The 23298-nt window shown below is 38.3% G+C and overlaps 1 protein-coding gene across 12 annotated transcripts in view, besides 1 other annotated feature; it reads right to left on the bottom strand.

Annotated features, from left to right (window-relative positions):
- The window catches only part of GPR141 (G protein-coupled receptor 141), a 60070-nt gene extending 36772 nt beyond the window's left edge, over positions 1–23298 (bottom strand). For 3 of the 12 annotated variants that reach the window (XM_011515374.4, XM_011515375.4, NM_001329994.2), the window contains exons 1-3: positions 23161–23298; positions 21766–21885; positions 21481–21604 (exon numbers count right to left, since the gene is read on the bottom strand). In XM_011515374.4, the coding sequence (XP_011513676.1) occupies positions 21481–21604; positions 21766–21813 (172 nt within the window). In that variant the 5' untranslated portion in view covers positions 21814–21885; positions 23161–23298. Of the gene's footprint in view, positions 1–8859; positions 9868–16589; positions 16635–21480; positions 21605–21765; positions 21886–23160 lie in introns of those variants that run through there. The other 9 variants (XM_047420330.1, XM_017012163.3, XM_047420332.1 and 6 more) reach the window with 5 other exon arrangements.
- Positions 935–1152: a silencer, noted in NCBI's record as "fragment chr7:37745514-37745731 (GRCh37/hg19 assembly coordinates)". NCBI's record gives its function as "represses an EF-1alpha promoter that drives an FKBP-Casp9 reporter gene in an ReSE screen in K562 erythroleukemia cells {active_cell/tissue: K562}" and the evidence as "EXISTENCE:reporter gene assay evidence [ECO:0000049][PMID:32094911]".

The following is a 23298-nucleotide window of genomic DNA, read 5'->3' as shown; positions in this document are numbered from 1 at the left end:
AACAGGAAGGAGGTAAAGGGGAGGAGAAGAGGGTCAGGGAAGCTCTGGAGGGAAAGGGAAAGAGGAAGAGGCAGTGGGCGTGGAAGAGAAGAAAACGTACCAGCTGGGTGGGTGGTTGCTCTCAGGAGAGAGAAGAGGGAAAGCCACCATCTCAAGAAGGGGCAGTTCTTATTTTCCTTTGTCCATGCCCAGGCTATTTGCAAGGGTCTCTGGTCAATCATTACGATTTATATGAAAAGAAAATGTATGTGAAAAAGCGTCCTACAAAATTCACGCTGTCACTTGCATATAGAGAGGCAATGATATGGAGAACAAAGGATGTGAACTTTGGTATCAACACATTTTCCTTTTGTATAGTCACATTTTCATGACACCCATCATGAAACCTCTCCATTTGAGTACTAGGTTCAGCTGAGCCTCTGCCAAGTGTGGCCTTTGTTTGGCTAGAATCCTCTTAAAAGTTATTTTTGCCATTGATTTGTGAATTCTTTAACGCTTCCAGATGAGCGGAAGGAACTATGGTGGGGGGTCAGGGAAGATATTCCCACTTCCTCCTGGTACTCACAGAAATCTGCAGGGTGGAAAAAAGCTCTTCACTGGGAGTGTTAAACCTCAAGCCTTCTTCTTGAATCTGGATAAATGCTTTTACAAATATTTTGCTGTTTAAAGTTCACTAAAACAACAGAGTACAACAGTGCTCTGAATTTTGGAAGTTCATCTATCCCAAACCAGTGATTCTCAATCTGGTTTTTAAATGCTCTCCAAGTATTTCTCAATCTATTGACAGACTTGCACCATCTTGTCCCTTCTATGCATCCGTAGAGTCCCTGGCCACAAAGGTTAGCGTTAGACGCCATGAATAATAAGAGCTGTTACTGTGACACCTGCAGGTAGAACTGAAGAGAAGCCATTATTTTTGTGTGTGTGTAAACACCATGCAGGCCCGAGAGCTTCTGGAGGAAGAAGACCTGTAGTTCGCCAGTGGGTCTCAGGCTTCTTCTAAACCACCCTCATTGGAGCAAAGCAGCTGCCCTCTTTAGTGGTAGTTTCCAAAGATTCTCGCATTTCCTGATTTCTGGAACAGGAGCAGCAGCTTTTTCTGGTCTTTCCTCTCTCAGCCCGTTCAGTGCTGTCGCAGCCTCTGATTCCCTACATTAGACCCCTTCCTGTTTCAAATACCTGGAGTGGTTTCAGTTTTCTCATGGCATCCGGATTGATGCATCAACTGTGGCTGCCCTATAGAATTGCCTGGGAAGCTTTTGCAAAATAGTGACACGTGGTTCTCACTTATGGGAATACCGTATAGCTGTCTATATTTTTTATTGCTCTCCAAATATTTTCAATAGGCATCCCAGAATGAAAACCATTTTCTTAATTGCAAATTTGAATTTTCAGCCTCAGGCTTTGGTATCTTTTCCCTCAGACCCCCATCTCATTGTCACTTCAAATCAGGTTTACCAAGTCAGAGAACTCACTTTATTTCTTGCCCTCAATATGTTTTCTCAACATATTGAGAAGAGGCCAGCAAGCAATTTCCAATGTAAAAACCCTAGATTTGCAGATGTACTTTCCTTCAGACAATTAGCATAAGCCAGAATCCAACTGATATATCGCAGTCCCCAGAATTTCCTTTCTCTACTGAGGTTATAGAAATAATATTATAAATGGAGAATACATTCTCTAGATGTATTTATGCTGTGATGTAAATAATTTATCAGTGATATAGGTTTTACCATTTAGTCTGGTGATCAAACCAACATTTAGAGTATTATTTTCTATGGCAGAATATTCTTCAAAAGAGCAAACACATGAATTGTGGACTGCCCATCTGAAGTCAGTAAAAATTCCTAAAGTTGCAGATTGAGGCCTGCATTCTGTTCAGAGCTTTAATAGAATGTTTTAAATTTAACATATTTTAATTGTCTTCAATATCAAAGTAAGCTTTCCTTGGGTTTTTAGAGAAATATCTAAATAATACCAGGGTTACATTCAACTATACATATATTTATTCATTTAATAAGTATTATTAGAGTGGCTATTGCATACTAAGTATTGGGCTTGTCACTGAGCACATAGCAATAACTCTGATGTGGAATTTGAGGCAGAGTCAGTTAGTGTTGACCTCGGTTCACAGTGGAAAGTACCCTAAAATGCGAAAAATCATTTTTTAAACATCTTTTAAAAACTCATGGATGAGTTAAAAATAAGTAGAAAGTCTTAGTAGAAAAGAATAATTTCATAATACATAAATCAAGAAAGGTAAGCGAGTAAATGAGTATAAAAGCAGAGGCAGCTCTGAAGTTATTCATCAATGCTGGAGACTTAGATCTTTCCTGTTAACAGACCCATATACACAGCACAACAGGGACAAAGCCTGGGCCCCATATAAGGTGTAAAGTCAGATTGGACTCGACCACACTGATATGATTTAGCTGTGTCCCCATTCAAATCTCATCTTGAACTGTAATCCCTACAATCCCCATGTGTCATGGGAGGGACTCAGTGGGAGGTAATTGAATCATGGGGGTGGTTTCCCCCATGCTGTTCCCATGATAGTGAGTGAGTTCTCACAAGATCTGATGGTTTTATAAGCATCTGGCATTTCCCCTACTGGGTCTCATTCTCTCTCCTGCCACCCTGTGAAGAGGTGCCTTCTGCCACGATTGTAAGTCTCCTGAGGCCTCCCCAGCCATGCGGAACTGTGAGTTAATTAAACTTCTTTCCTTTATAAATTAACCAGTCTCAGGTGTTTCTTCATAGCAGCATGAGAACAGACTAACACACACACAAAGCTACAACCTAAGAAAAGGAAAACACTTGGAAAAAAAAAAATCAACTCCAGAGAAAGACACAGTCTACTTACTTGTCCTAGTTTTAGCTTTGGGTGGAAAAGAAAAAATATATTCTCCCCACAAAAATTCATAACCATAAGACAGCTTTGTCAGAGTTTGGACAAAGGAATCTATACTATCAGTGGGTCTCAAAAAATCCCATGTTGAAAATTTAGTTTGAAATGGCCCAGGGTTTCTGGGTATCTGGCAGAAGGTAACTAGCAATAGCAAATGCCAATGCAAACGTACATATATAAAATAATGTAATATATTAAAAGTAAGTGATTTTTTAAAATGTATAGGCATTTTGAAAAATAACCAAAAATTACTTTTCGAAAGTTGTATTTTTGAAAGTGAAAAATATACTAATAGAACCAGAAAGAGAAAATAAAAATTGGTGAACCATATAATAGAGATGAAAAAAATTGCTCAGAATGCAACACAAAAAGAAAATAAGAGCAAATACACTGTGCAAGCTTCTTAGCACTTTACACATATTTCATCTTGCAATCTTTACAACAATCCTATGAAGTAGATACTATTGCTCCCTCCATTTTAGAACTGAGGGAACTGAGGCACAGAAAGCTTAAGAAACTTTCTTGAATTTATATACCAACTAAGAGTTAAAGGCATCATTTCAACCCAGAGTTTGGATTCAATTCTGTTTCTTAGCAACTATGCTATGTTCCTGTAAGAAAAATGAAAATTACAAAAAGGAAGTCACATGGAGGTTAAATTTGTTCCAGAGTAGAAGATAAAGAGAGCCAAGTGAAGGCAGTTTTTTTGAGAGATAATAGCTGAGAAATTTCCAGAATTGATGAAAAACATCAATCATCAGATTCAGTAAGGCCAAAAGTTCTTAAGCAGGGTGAATAAAAAGAAATCATACCTAGACACAGCATAGTGAAACCACAGAATACTAAGGAAAAAGAAGCTGATATTAAAGGCAGCCAATTAGAGAAGACAGACCACTAAAAAAAATCCTCTACACAGACAAACAGCTTCTTAAAAGTGGCAGTGGAAGCAGGAAGACAGTCGACTACTATCTTTAAAAAAATGAGTGAAAATAATAATCAACCTACAATGTGTACACAGTAAAATTCTTTGAAGAATGTGAGCAAAATAAAGACCTTTTATACAAATGAAAATTGAAAGATAATACTACCGGTTTACCCTTACTAAAGGTACATATGGAGGATACATTTGAAAAACAATGAAAGTTACACAGGAAGGAAAATCAAATAATAAAGGAAGAAATGTTACCTCAAAACACTGTAAATATGTGGGTAAACATATTTTATATGAATCAACAATATCTGATTTATCAGTTTAAAATACTAGAAAATACTAAAATACTAGGCAACAATATTATATGACTTTGGGGGGACTTTTTTTTTTAATTTTTATTTTATTTATTTTTTTTTTTGAATTGAACTGGGTTTTAATTTTTTATTTTTTTATTTTTTTATTTTTATTTATTTATTTATTTATTTTTTATTATACTTTAAGTTTTAGGGTACATGTGCACATTGTGCAGGTTAGTTACATATGTATACATGTGCCATGCTGGTGTGCTGCACCCACTAACTCGTCATCTAGCATTAGGTATATCTCCCAGTGCTATCCCTCCCCACTCCTGGGGGGACTTTCTGTCTATGTGTTCCGAGATATGTGTATTGTTTGAGAAGAAAGTAAGATTATTTAACTTCCGTTTTCTTAAACTAATGTGAAAATTTGTATTTGACAGCAATAAAAGAGTAAAAATAGAGTGTATATCTTCCGAACTAGTAAAGGTAAAAAAACGAAGTGAAGAAGAAAAAAGTTTACTTGATTAAAAAAGAAATGAAGGAAGGAGGAAAGGAAGGAAGGAAAAAAAGACAGAAGGGAGGAAGGGAGAAAAGGAGGGAAAAGGGAAGAAGAAAGGAGAGAAAAATAAAACCTAAAACAATATTGACAAATAGTAAACAAAAAACTAAAAGGCAGAAATAGATGTACATTTTATCAATATATAATTTGTGTACCAAACTCTACAGTTAAAAATGAGATTTTTAAAATCAGACTTTATGTCTAAAAATTACTTAGAAGGCCATTATTTAGACATGTTTTAAATAAGATGACTTGGAAAGTTTTGAAAGAAAAAAATCTTAAAAAGTTATGTCTGACAAAACACAAACCAAACAAGAAAGAAATTGGTATGTCTATGTCATTATTACAAAACAAGCCTTAAACCATGTAGGTTGCTGCAACAGAAAGAAGTACAGCCTGTTGAAAGGGAAAAGGGAGGAGCTCCTTATTCTTCCTGGAAAGGTTAGGAAAGCATTGAAATAAGTTTGAGAGGAAAAAAGAAAATAAACATTTACCTAATGATTTTCGAGCAGCTGCTGAATCCTAACCTGAACCTAGATTTATTTGCATTTTCTCCATTTAATCCTCATGACAACTCTACGATATGAATTATTAGCTGCAGGTTAAGCAAGTTTTCTAAAGGCTTATGTGTGGTTGTGCAGAAAATTAAGTACAATTCCACTGAATGAGAAAACTCTCCACATGAAAACTCAGAGCCTTAAGGATTTGTGTGTAGGGTTGACAGATAAAATGCAGGATAACCAGTTAAATTTGAAATTCAGGCAAACAACAAATGATTATTTTGTATAAATACCCCATGCAATATTTGGAACATAGTTGTACTAAAAAAATATTTACCATTAATCTGAAATTCAAATTTTACTGGGAGTCCCATGTTTTCATTTTCTAAATCTGGCAAGTCTGCATAGGAAGTGAAATAGAACAGAAGACAGAATTGAGCTGAGATCTAGTGGTGCTTCTCAAAGGCCTTTCCCTGGGTCATGAAGCAAGTCTCCCTCCATTCCTCTCCCAACAACCCACTCAAACATTAAAGTCAGAAATACATGGATGACCATTTTTCTATTATGATTTATATTTCCTATTATTAATAGTTATTACTATTTTCGTAAATGAATGTACAATGAGGTACTGGAGAAAGAAAGAGACTTAGGAAAAATAATCATACATTTTCTTCTATATTCCATTTGAAGCACTTGGAAGACTTTTCTTTGCCAAATCACAACGAATCATAAGATGTATTGTCCCCAAGTTTGCAAATGGAACTACTAGGAGTATGTTCACTATAATAATGTCCTACCACAATGACATAGTTCCATGTACAATGGGGTATATGATCACTTTTCAGCATAAGCTAAGGATGCAAATCCTGTCTAGACTGGAAGAATAAAGCATCCACGCTCAGGTTAATCAGACACAATTTCCTGGGGCAGGTGAGTTTACTAGGCTGGTAGTAGGAGAAAAATATAGGTTGGACTCTTCTAAAAGAGAATACTGTTTAGTGGCGATATTAAAGATTTGAAGATTTGAAGATCTGGCTTCAAATTTCATCTTACATATATAATATACTTGTGATAATGTTGGGATATCTTCCATATTTATCCATAGAAATATGTAGGAGCTGGGTATATGGTATAAATGAATGTATAAATTGTATGACTAGGAGGTTGTTTTAATTAATTTGCATGAAAAATATCATTTGTATGTTATTTGACTATAAACATAAAATCATAACAATGTACCGTACCAGTTACCTATATATGTTTGTATTTGTTTTCCACATTTACAGAATAGGAGATTCTAGTTGAAAATTCCTTTTGCCTGAGATCAGTGGCATAGCATGTGGTAGAGGAGGTTCACAGTGAATCTCTCTCATGATATGCCTTACCTCATCTTTCTACCATCAAGCTACAGTGGAGACAATCTGACATGGTGGCGGTAGATAATCTTGGTTTTCAGGTGGGGTTATTATGCTATGCTTTGCCGAAAGAAGAATCTATAAAAAGGAAATTAGCATGCTGAGGCTCAATATGCAATGACCTTCAACACTATGGTACTGAATTGTGATTTCCACATTTAGCCTCTAATCCTAATTTTTCAAAAAAGTAAAATGTAACAAAATACACTCTGCACTAAATTCAATCTGATCACATCATTTTAGTTCGATGATTCAGAAGATAATCCAAGATCTTCTTTTGGCCCAGAACATCAATTGAATAATTTGTAAAAATTGAGGGATAAGGTATAGTGGAAAAAGTGTGAGTTTCAGCACCAGCTCTACCACAATATCTGGATGACTGAGGACAAATTGTTCACCCTCTCCAAGCTTCAGTTTAGCAAACAAGAGTTATCATTTAAGGAATAATAAAAGGAAGGGCCAAGTATGGTGCCTGATAGACTGAAGGACAGAAAAGCTATTCAATAACCACTTTGGCCTCACAAGATCCAGTTGTCACTATACAGATGGAAAAAGCAAATGGCATGAGGCCCCATGCTGATTCTCTGTCGTGTTTGGAAATAAGCATTTTTAAAAATAAGTAAATAAATAAACCCCTGAAAAAACAAAACCTCACAACATTTATATTTGCTCATATTTATATTTATTACACATATTTACTTATTCAAAGCAACTTTAAATGTGTTCAATACATTTTTAAAAATCCAAGTTCATTTGGGATCTTGTTTACTTATCATCTAGATAAAAAGTTTGCAAACTATAGCCAAAGGGCCCAATCCCACCTGCCACCTGATTTTATAAATAAAGTTTTACTGGAGCATAACTACACCTATTTGTTTTGTTTTGTTTTTTGAGTCGGAGTCTCGCTGTGTTGCCCAGGCTGGAGTGCAGTGGCACGATCTCAGCTCACTGCAAGCTCCGCCTCTTGGGTTCACACCATTCTCCTGCCTCAGCCTCCCGAGTAGGTGGGACTACAGGCGCCCGCCACCACGCCCGGCTAATTTTTTGTATTTTTAGTAGAAATGGGGTTTCACCGTGTTAGCCAGGATGGTCTTGATCTCCTGACCTCGTGATCCACCCGCCTCGGCCTCCCAAAGTGCTGGGATTACAGGTGTGAGCCACCATGCCTGGCCCACCTATGTGTTTACATATGATCTATGGCCACTCTTTCACTACATTGCCAGTTGGGTAGTCCTACTACAAACTTTATGGCCCACAGAACCACAAATATTTACTATCTGATTCTTCATAGAAAAAAAAACTGCCAATCCGTGATTCTGGATCAAAGTATGTTTTCTATTATAAGTAAAGTCAAAGCCAGGCCATTTCAACAGACAGGCAGGAATTCATTCACATGCTCTAATGGTGCCCAAAGCACAGCTCAATAAGGTGACAGCACACCAGACTGGGAGTTTCAGTGGTTAAAAGTCAGCTAGATCTGGCTTCAAATCCCACCTTATGTAGATAAGATACTTGTGACATTCTCAGAAGGATCAAAGTTTATCTTGACGTAGGATACAGAAACTGCTCAACAAATATTCAGTGTCTCAACACTTCTTCACCTTTCACAATTCAAATATATATCAGCTTTGCTCCTACATTTTCTTTTATTTCAGATGTGAGAAATTAAAAAAAGAGAGCAGCTCAAGTAAGATCACTCTAAGGCCATGACAAAGTGGTACAAAACAAGTCTATTGCAAAATTTTGTCTAAGCACAGACAAAAACAAGGTCATTGGGCCACCCATAAAATACCAAATACCCCCTTTTCTGGTTAAAATTAGTGACTGACATTTCTTTACCTAATCATAAAGTTGTCCCTGCTTTCTGACAGCATCCAATACATAGCAAATCCCCAGTTACCCAACCAAAACCCAAATCCTTCCACAGACTGTTTCTAATACTCCCTTACTAAGTTGCCTCAAGATTCCCCATGGCGTGTGTTTCCCCTCCCCGCAATGAGTCATAAGCCCTACACACAGGTTCTCGTGGCCTTTGGCTGAAAATCGTTGACTGATGGAATAGTGAGACAGGATAGTTTGTTTTTATTTATAGATGTTATAAAAACTAAAAACTGTACCATGGTGGTAGGAGGGAAGAAGGGTAATAATTTTGAATAATGCTCTGTCCTAGGCATTTTTCACACATTATTACTTTTGATCCTCACAATTTTCATTTGAGTTAGATATCACTCTCTTCCTTTTACTTACATGAGAAGCTGAGGCTTGATGAAGCTGACCAAGGCCATGCATCTGGAATATGGCAGGTGTGCTTGTTTCTTTAAAGTACTCAATAGCAGAGAGAATCATCACGGTTTTTATAAAGAAAGTCTAGGCAATAAGGAATAAACTTACTAGCCTATATTTCACCCTGTGGCATAAGCCTCCTGTATGTATCCCATGCTGCCAGGCACGGGGGCCAGGATGCACAGGGTGTCTCTGAATATCTTAGAAACTTCTCTATTCCTCCTTCTCTTAAACTTAAGCCCTCAGATCGGCTGTTAGTTATGTCCTTGGTATTGGCACTTACTATACAAGATGAGAGATAACCAGGCTCCTAACCACTAGCCTTCATAATCACCTAAAGAGATTAATCAAATCCCTCGTGCCCAGAGCCTCTTCTCAGACCACTGGATTAGAATTTGTGGAGAGACTGGTGCTGATAAGTGGTTCAGGTGATTCTGAAACAAACCCACTTTGAGAATCACTGCCTTAATGTGCCTGAGTGTCAATTTTCTTGTTGTTTATCCAAATGCCATTTGTACATTGAGACTCAGTGAAGAGTCAACCTTCTGATCTCGCCACCTTCACTGATCTCCCTCCTTCCTAAACCACCACAGCATTCAGGGTCCACATCCGTAACTCATGCCTGAGCATGGAGGCTGCTGAGACACACTTAGAGCTGGAAGTCAAAATTCACTCTCCTGACTGGCTAGGTGACCTTGAGCCTTGATTTTTCCATTTGTATTATAAGGCTTTAAAGTTTTTAAAATAAACTTTAATTGTATTAGGACATATTCTAGAAAACTAGCTACAAAACTAACTACCCACTCAGTCATTTGGTTAATGATATTTACTCAATGTTCTTTTTCCATTTATGCTAACAAAGATTATCTAATCACTCTGTTTTTCTGCAAATGTCTCCGAATTGGCCTGTTTTAGATCTGTTCCTGTGAAGAAAATTTGACGCTTAACTTGTAATTTCTCGTAATTAAGTATCTGGGAAAAAAAAACAGTAAAATAAGAATTATTACTTCTACCTCCTCTTTATAAATCATAAAGCATTTTACAAGTATAGATTTTCAGAAAGTCTTCTGATCTTGGCATTAGTTTTACATATATAAATTGTGTCCTTCTAACTAATTATAGTCTCCTGGAATGCATGGGTTATAAAAATATCTTTGAATCTCTCTGTCTCTCTCACTCTCTATCTATCTATGGTATTATAAAGATAAATTAGGTAAAATCATTTCTATTTTACTATTAAAATTTTTTCCAGAAAACGCAACTAAGAAAACCTATATATGTTTGTGTCAAATTTACTGCATCTGAAATGAGTATGAAGGGTGACTGGGGAGAGGAGAGAGAGAGTAGGCATCAAATTAATGTGACGATTGTTTAACTTTTTAAAACATTATTGCATCTCATGCCAAAATTTTAAGCAAGGCCATCACATAGCATAAAGACTGGATCCTGTTCTACAAGGAGATTACAACCAAATAATAAGATTAAACCTAAACTAAAATTATCTTTGTAAGGCAGCATAGATGTGCTATATGAGTGCCATTATACTAGATGACACAGAGAAATGAGAACAATTCCATATGTGCACATCAGTGGTCCTTGTGCTGGGCTGAATAACAAGTCGCGCTGAGGAAAATGAGGTGGTTGAATGCCAGGCATAGAGCATAACATTCCAAAGAAGGGAATTGACAATATATGTTTGCAGGAGCAACAGGTGGAGGACAGTGGGCGGTAATGCATGAAAAACACATAGCAGGGTATTCTTAGACAAGATTCCAATATGGATGCTCCTCAATTTTCAAAGGGGTTTTGTCTCTAAAAACTCATCGTAAGTTGAAAATACCATTAAATTGAAAGTGTATTTAACATACCTCACCTACCAAACATCATAGCTTAGCCTCAACTACTTTAAATATGCTTAGAAGACATCCATTAACCTACAGTTGGGCAAAATCATCTAACACAAAGCTATTTTATAATAACGTTATTATAAATGATTTTTAAGCAAAACTCAAGATTCAGAGTCTGTTTTCTACTGAGTATTGCTTTCACACTATTATAAAGTTGCAAACTTATAAGTCAACCATTGTTTATATGGGGAATTGTCTGTACTTCCAAACCAGAGGTGGCTGGAGGCCAAGGTATATGGGTAACTTATTTTTTCATGTGATTCCAAGAACAGATGCAAGAATTTATCTTTAAGGAAAAGAACAAATATTATGTAATTTCATTTATACAAGGGACCTAAAATTGTCAAATTTATAGAGACTGAAAGTAGAATAGAGATAATCAGGGGATAACCTCCACCGCCACACAGTGACAACACGGCATGTTGGCTTGTCAATATACATTTTTAAATTCAAACACTACATAAGTGTTTAAAGAGAAAGTATAGCTGAGTGACAGAAAGATGGCTGACTAGAAGCCCCTAGCACATGTCCTCACCACAAAGACAGACAAAACAATGAATAAATAACTACATTTTAATAAAAAAGGCTAAAGCAGAGTGGCGGAGTTCCTAAAAGAAGTAATAGAAACCTGAGTGAACACGGAAACTTAGGATACCCACATAGAGAACGGAAGGAAACACAAGGACTCCTACATCCCATCCCCCACCCAGGATCAGCTGGGAGCCAGGAGGAATTTCTCCCATTGTCAGAAAGGTGAGCAAGAGAACCCTAGCCAACATCATCCACACTTTGGACATCTACAGACCTTGCCAGTGGGTCTCTACAGTCCTCACAGGCATTAAGTTGAGCTGAGGGAGCTGCCTGGAGTCCACACAGCTGTGCTCTTAGCAGAGGAGTGGACACAGTGTCCCACCCCCAGTGGCCTGCATGGCTACTGTGTTATGCCATTTTGGAACTGGAACTATGTTGGAGTGTGTCTTGCTCCAGGGGCATGGAGCTATGGGTGCCTCTTCATCCCTGAAGTTAAGCTGCCACAGAACCACCCCCATTCTGTGGCCTGAAATCCCCAAGTTGAGCTGTGAGCAGCTGTTACACCCTTCCCTGGAGACCAAGCAGCAGTGGAACCACTCTACCTGCTCCTCCATCTGCCCCCTTGCCTGGAGCTAAAGCTGAAGCTGTGCAATCCCTCCTAGGGAAACCTTGCTTTGGCAGAACAGCTCCATATACATCTCCCAGTCGTGGCTGTGCCCTGCCTTCAGGGCCCTAAGCTGAGGCTGTACACTGCCTGCTGGGAAAATGGTGCCTTAGTGGAATTCCTTTATCTACCCTTCCCAGTCACTGAGCTCTAGCCTTAGGATAGAGCTGTAGTTTGGATATTTGACCCTCCAAGCCTAATGTTGAAATTTGATCCACAATGTTGGAATCCAGGCCAAACAGGAGGTGCTAAGGTCATGGGGGTGGATCCCTCATGAATGGCTTGGTGCTCTCCTCATGGTAATAAGTGAATTCTTGCTCTATTAATTCCTGTGAGAATTTCCCTGAGAGCTGGTTGTTAAAAAGAGCCTGGCACTTTCCCCATCTCTCTTGCTTCCTCTCTTGCCATGTGATCTGCACACCTGCCATGTTTCTTGTACAGGCTGCAGAACCATGAGCTAAATAAACCAATCTTCTTTATAAACTACCCAGCCTCAATATTCCTTCATTGCAACACAAATGGACTAAGACAGGGTCTGACCTGCAGCTGCACGCTCCCTGCTAGGAAAACAGTTCTTCAGCAGAACAGCTCCATCTACCTCTCCAGTTGTTGCTGCGCCCTGCCCCTTGGGGCCTGAGCTCAAGTTGCACAACCTTTCCTGGGGAAATGGTGCCTTGGTGAAGTTGCTTCATATACTTCTCCCAGTTGCTGCTGCACCCTGCCCTGAGGGGCCTAAGCCAAGGCTGTGCATTGCCTCCCAAGTAAACAGTGCCCCGGCAGAGCTGCTCCAAAAGCCCCTCCCACTTGCTGCTGCACCTGTCCCACAGGACCAATACTGAAGTTGCACACTGCTTCTCATCCCTTCCAGTTACTACTGTGCCCTGACACAGGTTTCAGAGCTGAAGCTATGCCTGACATCCCAGGGAAACAGTTCCTTGGCTGCCCAAAGCAGTCATACCTCACCAAAGTCTAAGTTGAAGCAACAACCTGCCTCCCAGGAAATGGTGCCTTGACTGTCTGAAGTGGTCATACCCTGCAGCACCTAAGCCGAAACAGTGCCCTATATCCCAAGGAAATGGTGCCCGGGTCATCCAGACTAGTCATGCCTTCCAGGACTGGCTGAAGTGGCTCATTGCCCCTTGGGAACTTTGTCTTTACAGACTTCAAGCTAAGAAGCTGCACATCTAAGGCTGAACTGACATGACACCCTACATCCAAGGGAAACAGCAGTGGCTGAGCTGAGACACCCCACATTTACAGGCAAAACAACTCCAGTATTCTGCTTCCCTGGAGTTGGACTAGCCCCCTAGAGTCTGAACTACTGAGATACCCCTCTTCCCAGGGAGTAGAGTCATTGTTGTGCTGCTTCATGCTCCCCCAGGGCCCCAACAGCTGTGCCCCACCATTCTGGGGTACTTGCTGCCACTGTACCTGCTCTCACAAGTCTGGGATGCTGCTAAGCCCCACCATCCCAGGGTCTAGACTCACCACTACAAGGTGCTTCATCCCCTTTGTCCCAAGTTGCCACTGAGGCCTATTGGTTCAGTTTACAGAAACACAGCCGTATGTGACTCCTCAAGCCCATATAACCAAGACAATCCTAAGCAAAAAGTACAAAGCTGGAGGCATCATGCTACCTGACTTCAAACTATACTACAAGGCTACAGTAACCAAAACAGCATGATACTGGTACCAAAACAGACATATAGACCAATGGAACAGAACAGAGGCCTCAGAAATAATGCCGCATATCTACAATCATCTGATCTTTGACAAACCTAACAAAAACAAACAATGAGGAAAGGATTCCCTATTTAATAAGTGGTGTTGGGAAAACTGGCTAGCCATATGCAGAAAACTGAAACTGGACCCCTTCCTTACACCTTATACAAAAATTAACTCAAGATGGTTAAAGACTTAAATATAAAGCCTAAAACCATAAAAACCCTAGAAGAAAACCTAGGCAATACTATTCAGGACATAGGCATGGGCAAAGGCTTCATGACTAAAACACCAAAAGCAATGGCAACAAAAACCAAAATTGAAAAATAGGATCTAATTAAACTAAAGAGCTTCTGCGCAGCAAAAAAATAAAACAACTGTCATCAGAGTGAAAAGACAACCTTCAGAATGGGAGAAAATTTTTGCAATCTATCCATCTGACAAAGGGCTTATATCCAGAATTTACAAGGAACTCAAACAAATTTACAAGAAAAAACAAACAACCCCATCAAAAAGTGGGCAAAGGATATGAACAAAGACTTCTCAAAAGAAGACATTTATGTGGCCATCAAACATATGAAAAAAAGCTCATCATCACTGGTCATTAGAGAAATGCAAATCAAAACCACAATGAGATACCATCCCACGCCAGTTAGAATAGTATCATTAAAAAGCCAGGAAACAACAGATGCTGGAGAGGATATGGAGAAATACGTATGCTTTTACACTGTTGGTAGGAGTGTAAATTATTTCAACCATTGTGGAAGACAGGTGTGGTGATTCCTCAAGGATCTAGAACCAGAAATGCCATTTGACCCAGCAATCTCATTACTGGGTATATACCCAAAGGATTATAAATCATTCTACTATAAAGACACATGTACATGTATGTTTATTGCTGCACTATTCACAATAGCAAAGACTTGGATCCAACCCAAATGCCCATAAATGATAGACTGGATAAAGAAAATGTGGCACATATACACCATGGAATACTATGCAGCCATAAAAAAGGATGCGTTCATGTTTTTTGCAGGGATATGGATGAAGCTTGAAACCATCATTCTCAGCAAACTAACAGAGGAACAGAAAACCAAACACTGCATGTTCTCACTCATAAGTGGGAGTTGAACAATGAGAACACATGGACACAGGGAGGGGAACATCACACACTGGGGGCTGTTGGGGGATGGGGAGCTAGGGGAGGGATAGCGTTAGGAGAAATACCTAATATAGATAACAGGTCAATGGGTGCAGCAAACCACCATGGCACATGCATATCTATGTAACAAACTTGCATGTTCTGCACATGTATCACAGAACTTAAAGTGTAATAAAAAAAGAAAGAAAAACAGCATGCAATTCAGCCCACACAAAAAAAAGAAGTCAAAGACAGCGAGAATTCTTAAAACAGCAATAAAAAGTATAAAGTCACTCTAAAGGAATCCCCGTTAGATTAACAACACATTTCTTAAGAGAAATCTAACAGGCCAGGAGAGAATGGGATGACATATTCAAAGTGTTAAAGGGGGGGAAAAAACTCCACTCAAGACTACACCCAGAAAAGCTATCTTTCAGAAATGGAGATAAAAACATCTTTCCCAGACAAAGAAAAACTAAGAGAATTTACTACCACTCACCAGCCTTACCAAAAAATGCTCAAGGGAGTCCTACATCTAAAGCAAAACGACAATCATCACGAAAACATGCAAAAGCATAAAACTAACTTGTACAGCAGATACACAAAGGAGAAACAGAAAATAATCAAACTTTATACTACAGAAAATCATCAAACCACAATACTAAACAATAAGAGAGGAAAAAAGAACAAAGAACATACAAAACTACAATAAAACAATTAACAAAATAACAGGAGTAAGTCTTCACCTATAAATAATAACCTTGAATGTAAATGGATTAAATTCTCCACTTAAAAGATATAGACTGACTTGAACCCGGGAGGCAGAGGTTGCAGTGAGCCAAGATGGCGCCACTGCACTCCAGCCTGGGCAGCAGAGCGAGACTCTGTCTCAAAAAAAAAAAAAAAAAAAAAAAAGGATATAGACTGGGTAACTAGGTTAAAAAAAAAAAAAAAAAAGGACCCAACTATATGCTGTTCACAATAAACTTACTTCACCTGTAATAATACAGATAGACTAGAAGTGAAGAGATGAAAAAAGATATTCCATGTAAACAGAAACCAAACGTGAGCAGGAGTAACTATACTTATACAGATAAAAGAGATTTTAATCAAAATTCTAAAAAGATACAAAGAAGGTCATCATACAATGATAAAAAGGATCAATTCAGAAAGAGAACACACCAATTGCAAATATATATGACCCAACACCAGAGCACATAGATACATAAAACAAATGTAATTGAATCTAAAGGGAGAGATAGACTACAATACAGTAACACAGGAGACTTCAACACTTTGTTCTCAGCATGGCCAAATGATATAGAGCGAAAATAAACAAAGAAATATTGGATTTAAGCTGCACTTTGGATGAAATATACCTAACTGATATTTACAGAACATTTCATCTAGCGGCTGCAGAATACACTTTTTTTTTTTTCATCAACACATGAAACATTCTTCAGGATAGGTTACATGTTAGGCCACAAAACAATCCTCAACACATTTAAAAGAATTGAAATAATATCAAATATCTTTTCTTACCACGATGAAATAATCTAGAAATGAATAACAAGAGTGTATTAGGTTGCTCTTGTATTGCTATAAAAAATATCGGAGACTGGGTAATTTATAAGAAAAGAGGTTTATTTGGCTCATGGCTCTGCAGGCTCTACAGTAAGCATAGTGCCAGTATCTGCTTCTGGGGAGACCTCAGGAAGATTTTACTCACTGTGGAAGGCAAAGCAAGAGCAGGCACGTCGCACTGTGAAAGGGGAAAGGACAGGGGAAGTGCTACACACTTAAATGAGTGGATCTTGCGAAAACCCTCTCGCTATCAGGAGGACAGCACCAAGCCGTGAGGGATCTGCTCCCACGACCCAAACACCTCCCACCAGGTCTCACCTCTAACGCCGGGAATTACATCTTAACATGAGATTCGGAGGGGACATCCAAAGTATATTACAAGAGAAATGTTCAAAACCGTAAAAATGCATGGAAATTAAAAACAAAAACAAAAACAAACAAACAAAAAAACATGCTCCTGAATGACCAATTGGTCATGAAGAAATTAAGAAGGATATCTTAAAATTTCTTGAAATAAATGAAAATAGAAACCTAAAATTCCAAAATTTATGGAGCACAGCAAAAGCAGTATTAAGAGAGATGTTTGTAAAAATAAATGCCTACATCGAAAAAGTAGAAAGATTTCAAATAAACAATGTATCTCTAGGGACTAGAAAAACAAAAACAAAACAAACCCCAAATTAGAAGAAGGAAAGAAATAATAACGATCGGAGCAGAAATAAATGAAATTGAAACTGAAAAAAAATAACAAGAGAAATGAAACAAAAACTTAACTGTTTGAAAATATAAATGAAATTGACAAATGATTATCTAAACTAACCAAGAATAAAAGAGAAAATACCCAAATAAATAAAATCAGAAATGAAAAGAGACTGTACAATTAATAGCACAGAAATTTTAAAAAAAAAGGATCACTGAAGACTACCATGAACAACTGTACACCAACAAGTTGGAAAACCTAGCAAAAATGGATAAATTCATGGACACATACACCCTACCAAGACTGACTCAAGAAGAAACAAAAACTCTGAATAGACCAATTATTAATAATAAAACTGAATCCATAATTTTAAAAAAGTCTCCCATCAAAGAAAAGCCCAAGACCTCATGACTTTGCTGCTGAACCCTACCAAACATTCAGAAAATAACTAATACTATTTCTTTTCAAACTCTTCCATAAAATTGAAGAGAAGGAAAGTCTTTTAAGCTCATTCTACAAGGCCAGCATTAACCTGTTTCCAAAACCAGACAAGGATACAACCAAAAAAGAAAATTATAGGCCTATATCCCTGATGAGCACAGATGCAAAAATCCTCAACAAAATACTAGTAAATGGAATCTGGCAGCACATTAAAAAGATTATTCACCATGACCAAAAGGGATTTATCCTAAGGATAGAAGGATAGTTTGACATATGCAAATCGACAAATCTGACATATCACATCAATAGAATGAAAGACAAAAGCCATGTAATCATCTCAATAGATTCAGAAAAAGCATTTGATAAATTTCATCATAGCTTCATAAGATTACCAGGGGCCTGAGAGAAGGAAAGAATGGGGAGTAACTGTTTAATGAGTAAAGAGTTTTAGTCTGGGATAACGAAAAACTTCTGGAAATGAGTTGTAGTCCTGGTTGCACAACAAACTGAATGTATTTAAGCCACTAAGCTATCTGGTAAAATATTTAAAATGGTAAATTTTATATACTTTACCATAATAATAATTTTTAAAAGAAAGGGGAAAAGAATTGTCTTTATGGCAGACTCTCTCTTTAGTCAAGAAAGGAAAATTTTGATAAGCCCTTTAGTGGTATTAATGGAAGGTAAGTGCTACTGGTAGTTTCAGAGATGCTTCCGACCTCCATGGACCACATTTCTATTCAATGGGCCTTCCTCTTGTCAGATGACTATGACATGAACTTGTTTTTCACATCCCTAGCTGGGGCTTAACCTGTGCGGAGAAGAACCTGAAATTGTGGAAGTGAAGGCAAGGAGGAGAGAGGACTTCTGGCCAGGAAGGATGAGTGCGTCTCAGTAGCATGGCCTCAGGCCAGGGCTAAAATGAATGATGGACACCTCCAGGAAGGGAAGTGCTGATACCTCTGGAAGGCATTCTCTAACTGTCAGTTTTATATCTCTTTTTACTACATTGTAATTTTATTTATTTATTTATTTATTTATTTTCTCAAATGGAGTTTTGCTCTTGTTGCCCAGGTTGAAGTGGAATGGTGCAATCTTGGCTCACTGCAACCTCTGCCTCCTGGGTTTAAGTGATTCTCCTGCCTCAGCCCCCTGAGTAGCTGGGATTACAGGCGTGTACCACCATGCCCCAGCCAATTTTTGTATTTTTAGTAGAGACGGGGGTTCACCATATTGGCCAGGCTGGTCTCGAACTCCTGACCTCAGGTGATCCACCCACCTCCCAAAGTGCTGGGATCACAGGCGTGAGTCACCGCGCCCAGCCTACTACATAGTAGTTTTTAAAAGTTGACACGAAGCATTCAATATAGTTCATGGGCCAGCAAAGTACATCCCATGGGCTGGCCACTCGTTTTTGTAAACACAGTTTTTATCTGATCACAGCCAAGCTTATTTATTTATGCATCGTCTGTGGTTGCATTCACATTGCAATTGTAAGTTGTATCGTTGCAACAGAGATTGTTTGGCTCACAAAATCTAAAATATTTATGATCTGGTCCTTTAAGAAAAAGTTTGCTCCAAAAATAGCTTTGTCACAGATTTAAGTTTACTTGTGTTTGAGAGGGAATGGAAGGGGTCTTGACCACGTTTTGGAGTAAAGCCTTCCAGGGAAGTGCAGGGGTCATCTGAAAATGGAGCTTGGGACAGCAGTCGAAGCGAGAGGAGTGTGTGCTACCAGTCTTGAATTTGTAGAACATGCAAGCACTGCCCAGGGAGTCTCAGAAATCCTCAGAGAGGGGACTAAGCTTCCTGCCACATCCAAGTGAGACCTTGGATCATAAGACATATTCGAGCTCCCATTCATGAAGCATGTGGTCTTTGGATTATATTTGGGACTTATCTCAATCCTTAAGGAGATCCGGGAATATGTCCTCAGTAGAACTGCTAAATGTGTGAAGAAAATGGTGCTATTTAATATAGAGTGATACTGCACAGGCTCACTGTATAATTGTATCCCAAAGCAAATAGTATATTTCTATTTCCTAACAGCTTCTGAGATGAGAGGATGACAAGAGTAGAGGTGAGAGGCACTTTTTTGAATAAGGATGTCTCAGGCATGACACCAACTATATACAAAGCTACTCAGGTTTTTCATTACCATTTCTCAACATTTTAAATCTTAAATTTCCCTAAGAAGTGAATGAATCATATACTAGATATTATAGATTGGATTTCCTTTAGTGGAATTGTTCCTGGAGTGAGAACAGAGCTACAATTTGATTGATCACAAGTTATTCCCCTGCCCTGGGTAGCTGTGGGAAATTCCCAGGAAACAGTGCTCCGACTGACATCATCAATTGGGCAGGCAGTGGAGCTCAGTCTGAACTTCTTTATCAGGGAGCAGAGTGGTGCCCTAAATTCTACCAGACTTGACTTTTGGATTTCCCAGAAAAGCTACCAGTTATGCATGATGTTCCAGCTGATACTATCTTCTACCCAGTCTCAGGACACGAGGGGCTCAGATGCTGATGGCAATGCTTTTCATTAACAAAATTTCACTCTCCACTCACGCCATCCCAGAGAGTAGGTTACTAGCAACCTTGTAAAAAGTATTTCTCTCTCCTATGTTAATTAAATTCCACAAATTTCACTCTTTTTAAAAAGTGACTTAATCATCAGGAACTGCAATATTGAGTTGGCCAATTATTTTGAAATCACAGTTACATCCAATTTTGAAAAGAGAAGCCATCTTTGGACTTAGCAACTACTGCTTTTAGACCATCTGGAGTTCCAAGCCTTCACTATCTATGGTACGTAATCTCCATGATAATACCTTCATCATTTCATTCACTTATTCACTCATATAACCATTCCAAAGATGCTGGGTACTTATTATGGGTCAAACCCTGTTCTAAAATATAAAGGTAGCAAAGGCATAGTTCCTGCCCTTAAGGAAATTATGTTTTTAGGAAACAGACTATGCTTAGATTAAGTTTGATTATGACTGTCACGAATAATAACATTGTCATTCAAAATAAGATGGGACAATAACATAATTTGGAAAATACTTTGGTATAACGTATGAACTAGCTTTGAAAACACTTTGCAAAGCAATGTCTCAGAAATCTTTGATCAATTGAAAATTGTTTTCAATGTTATTACTTTGAAAGACAGCACAGACTTGCACATATTCTAACTTCTTTAAAATATTTTTAGTCTGAGTCTGAGTCAGGAAGACTGCTTGAGCCCAGGGATTTGAGACCAGCCTTGGCAACATAGTGAGACCCCCTCTCTAAAGAAAAAAAAAAAAAAAAAAGGCAGGCAGGGTGGCTCACACCTGCACTCCCAGCTATTCGGAAGGCTGAAGTGAGAGGACCACTTGATTCCAGGAGGTGAAGGCTTCAGTGAGCTGTGATTGTGCCACTGCACTCCTGCCTTGGAGACAGAGCGAGGCCCTGTCCCAAAAATATATTTTTTAACATATTATTTAACAATATATTTAACACATTATTTTAGTCACAACATGCTACGTCTCTTATAGTGCTAGCACAATGGCTTACCCATAGTAGACACCAGTAAACATTTCACAGGCTCATTGATTTTAAATTTGGAAAGCACTTTTAGAAATTAGCTAGACCTGTGGTCCTTAACTACAATTGGATTTTGGACCACTTTGAAAATCAATCCGTGTTTTTCTTATTTAAAAAAAAAAAAAAAAAAAAAAAAGTGCTGCCAGGCACAGTGGCTCATGTTTGTTATCCCAGTACTCTGAAAAGCCAAGGCAGGAGGATCACTTGTGCCCAGGAGTTTGAGACTAACCTGGGCAACATGAGCAAGACCCTGTCTCTATTTAAAAAAAAAAATTAATTAATTAGCCAGGTGTGGTGGCAAGTACCTGTAGTCTCAGCTACTGAGGAGGCTGAGATGAAAGGATCACTTGAGCCCCGGAGGTCGATGCTGCAGTCAGTGAGCCATGATTGAGTCGCTAAACTCCAGCCTGGGCAACAGAGAGAAAGGCCCTGAAGAAAGAAAGAGAGAAAGAGAGAGAGAGATGGAGGGAGGGAGGGAGGGAAGAAGGCAGGAAGGCAGGCAGGCAGGCAGGCAGGCAGGCAGGAAGGAAGGAGGGAGGGAGAGAAACACACACACGCACAAAAGGAAGAAAAGAAAAACACACACTTACATTTTTGCATGCAATTTCAGAGGATTGGTGTATCAATCTAAAGACCATCCAGGAACTCCCTTAGCTGAGCATCTCTTATCCAGTCTACAACTTCCATTTTATAATTGTTGAAAATCATTGCTAGAAGAATAGTTGGAAAATTGTGTCACCTAAGCCAAAGCTGGCTCACTTCTTGTTTTTATACAGCCTGTGAGCTACGAATGGTTTTTATAGTTTTAAATGGTTATGTAAGTACCAATATATTAGCCTCAGTTCTACCTCTTGGCTTGCAAAGCCTAAAATATTTACTATCAAGGCTTTTGTAGAAAAAGTTTGCCAACCCCTGGTCTGGAATCCTTAGACAATATTCCCCCAAATTATGCAGCCAATTACTAGAAAACAGAGGACTAGAATTCACACCACCTGATTCCTCATCCATTGGTCTTCCCATTACTTCTATTGACTGATTAAAATCCTAATTAACTGATTTAAACCCAATAAAACAGAAAACAAAGACATGTAATTCTGGAGTACTTAATAAGTAATTTCTCAGATAAGTAATTGTGCAGTTATGTAGAACGCTGAAGTCCAGAGAATTAAGTGACCTATCAAAAGTCATATAACAAATTTGTAAAAGAAACAAAATTAAATGCCTATATTCAGGTTAGGCATTACTGACTTATTGTTTAAAAACTTTGCATTATATTTCATTCCACATATTTGAAAAATATTACTTCTTGGAAGTAGAAAATACTGGTATAGAAAGTATTTTACTTAAAGTAAAATTATTTGAACAGATGTTGTTCTTTTTATTTATCTTATTTAAGAAGTTATTTTCAGATCCTTCCTGTTAAGTAGTACTTTAAAAGTGGGATGGAAAGAATTATAATTACCATTATTTCACATGTTATTTTGAATATACTTCTTTTAGAAATTTCTAAGTACTTGATTGCTTACAGATTGTTTCCTTCTATTGACTAGGGCTGCCTGAATAGTTTCAAACTCTATCTGAAAATAATGCAGTAATAGAGTTAAAGGATTTTCATAACAAAAGGAAATTAAGACATCACTTAAAAGATAAGCATTTGAATAATTATACACAAATTCAATAGTGCCAACTGCTCTAAAAAATTCTATGATATGTTTAGCTGGTTTTTTGACAGAGAGATTCTGAAATCATTTTTGTTCACATTTACCCATAAATATTAGGTTTTACTTTCAGAGCAGCATATCCTAAGCAGTAAGAATAGAACAATTCTTTCTATAAAGGAGGAGTTGTGGTCAGAGAATAAGCTTGCTTTTTAGAGCAGAACCATTTGAAGATTCTGAATTAGGACTATGCCAACAAATTAAGTGTGCTTTATTTCTATAGCACTTTCATTCATGTCTCCCCAAACCTAAGTCATCTGCACTTACCTTGAAAATCCAGATTTCTCAGTGATGGCTACAGAGATGGGCCACATGTCTGCCTTCCAAATAGGATTCTGTTTCAACAGCAGGGCAGCTGGGTCATTTCCATGCTCTGCATGCATTTGCAAAGGCTCTGGACAGCTC

The sequence above is a fragment of the Homo sapiens genome, chromosome 7, assembly GCF_000001405.40.
Source record: "Homo sapiens chromosome 7, GRCh38.p14 Primary Assembly".
NCBI classification, from domain to species: domain Eukaryota; kingdom Metazoa; phylum Chordata; class Mammalia; order Primates; family Hominidae; genus Homo; species Homo sapiens.
Note: the sequence above shows the minus strand (reverse complement) of the source record. Positions and strands in the feature narration are given on the sequence as shown.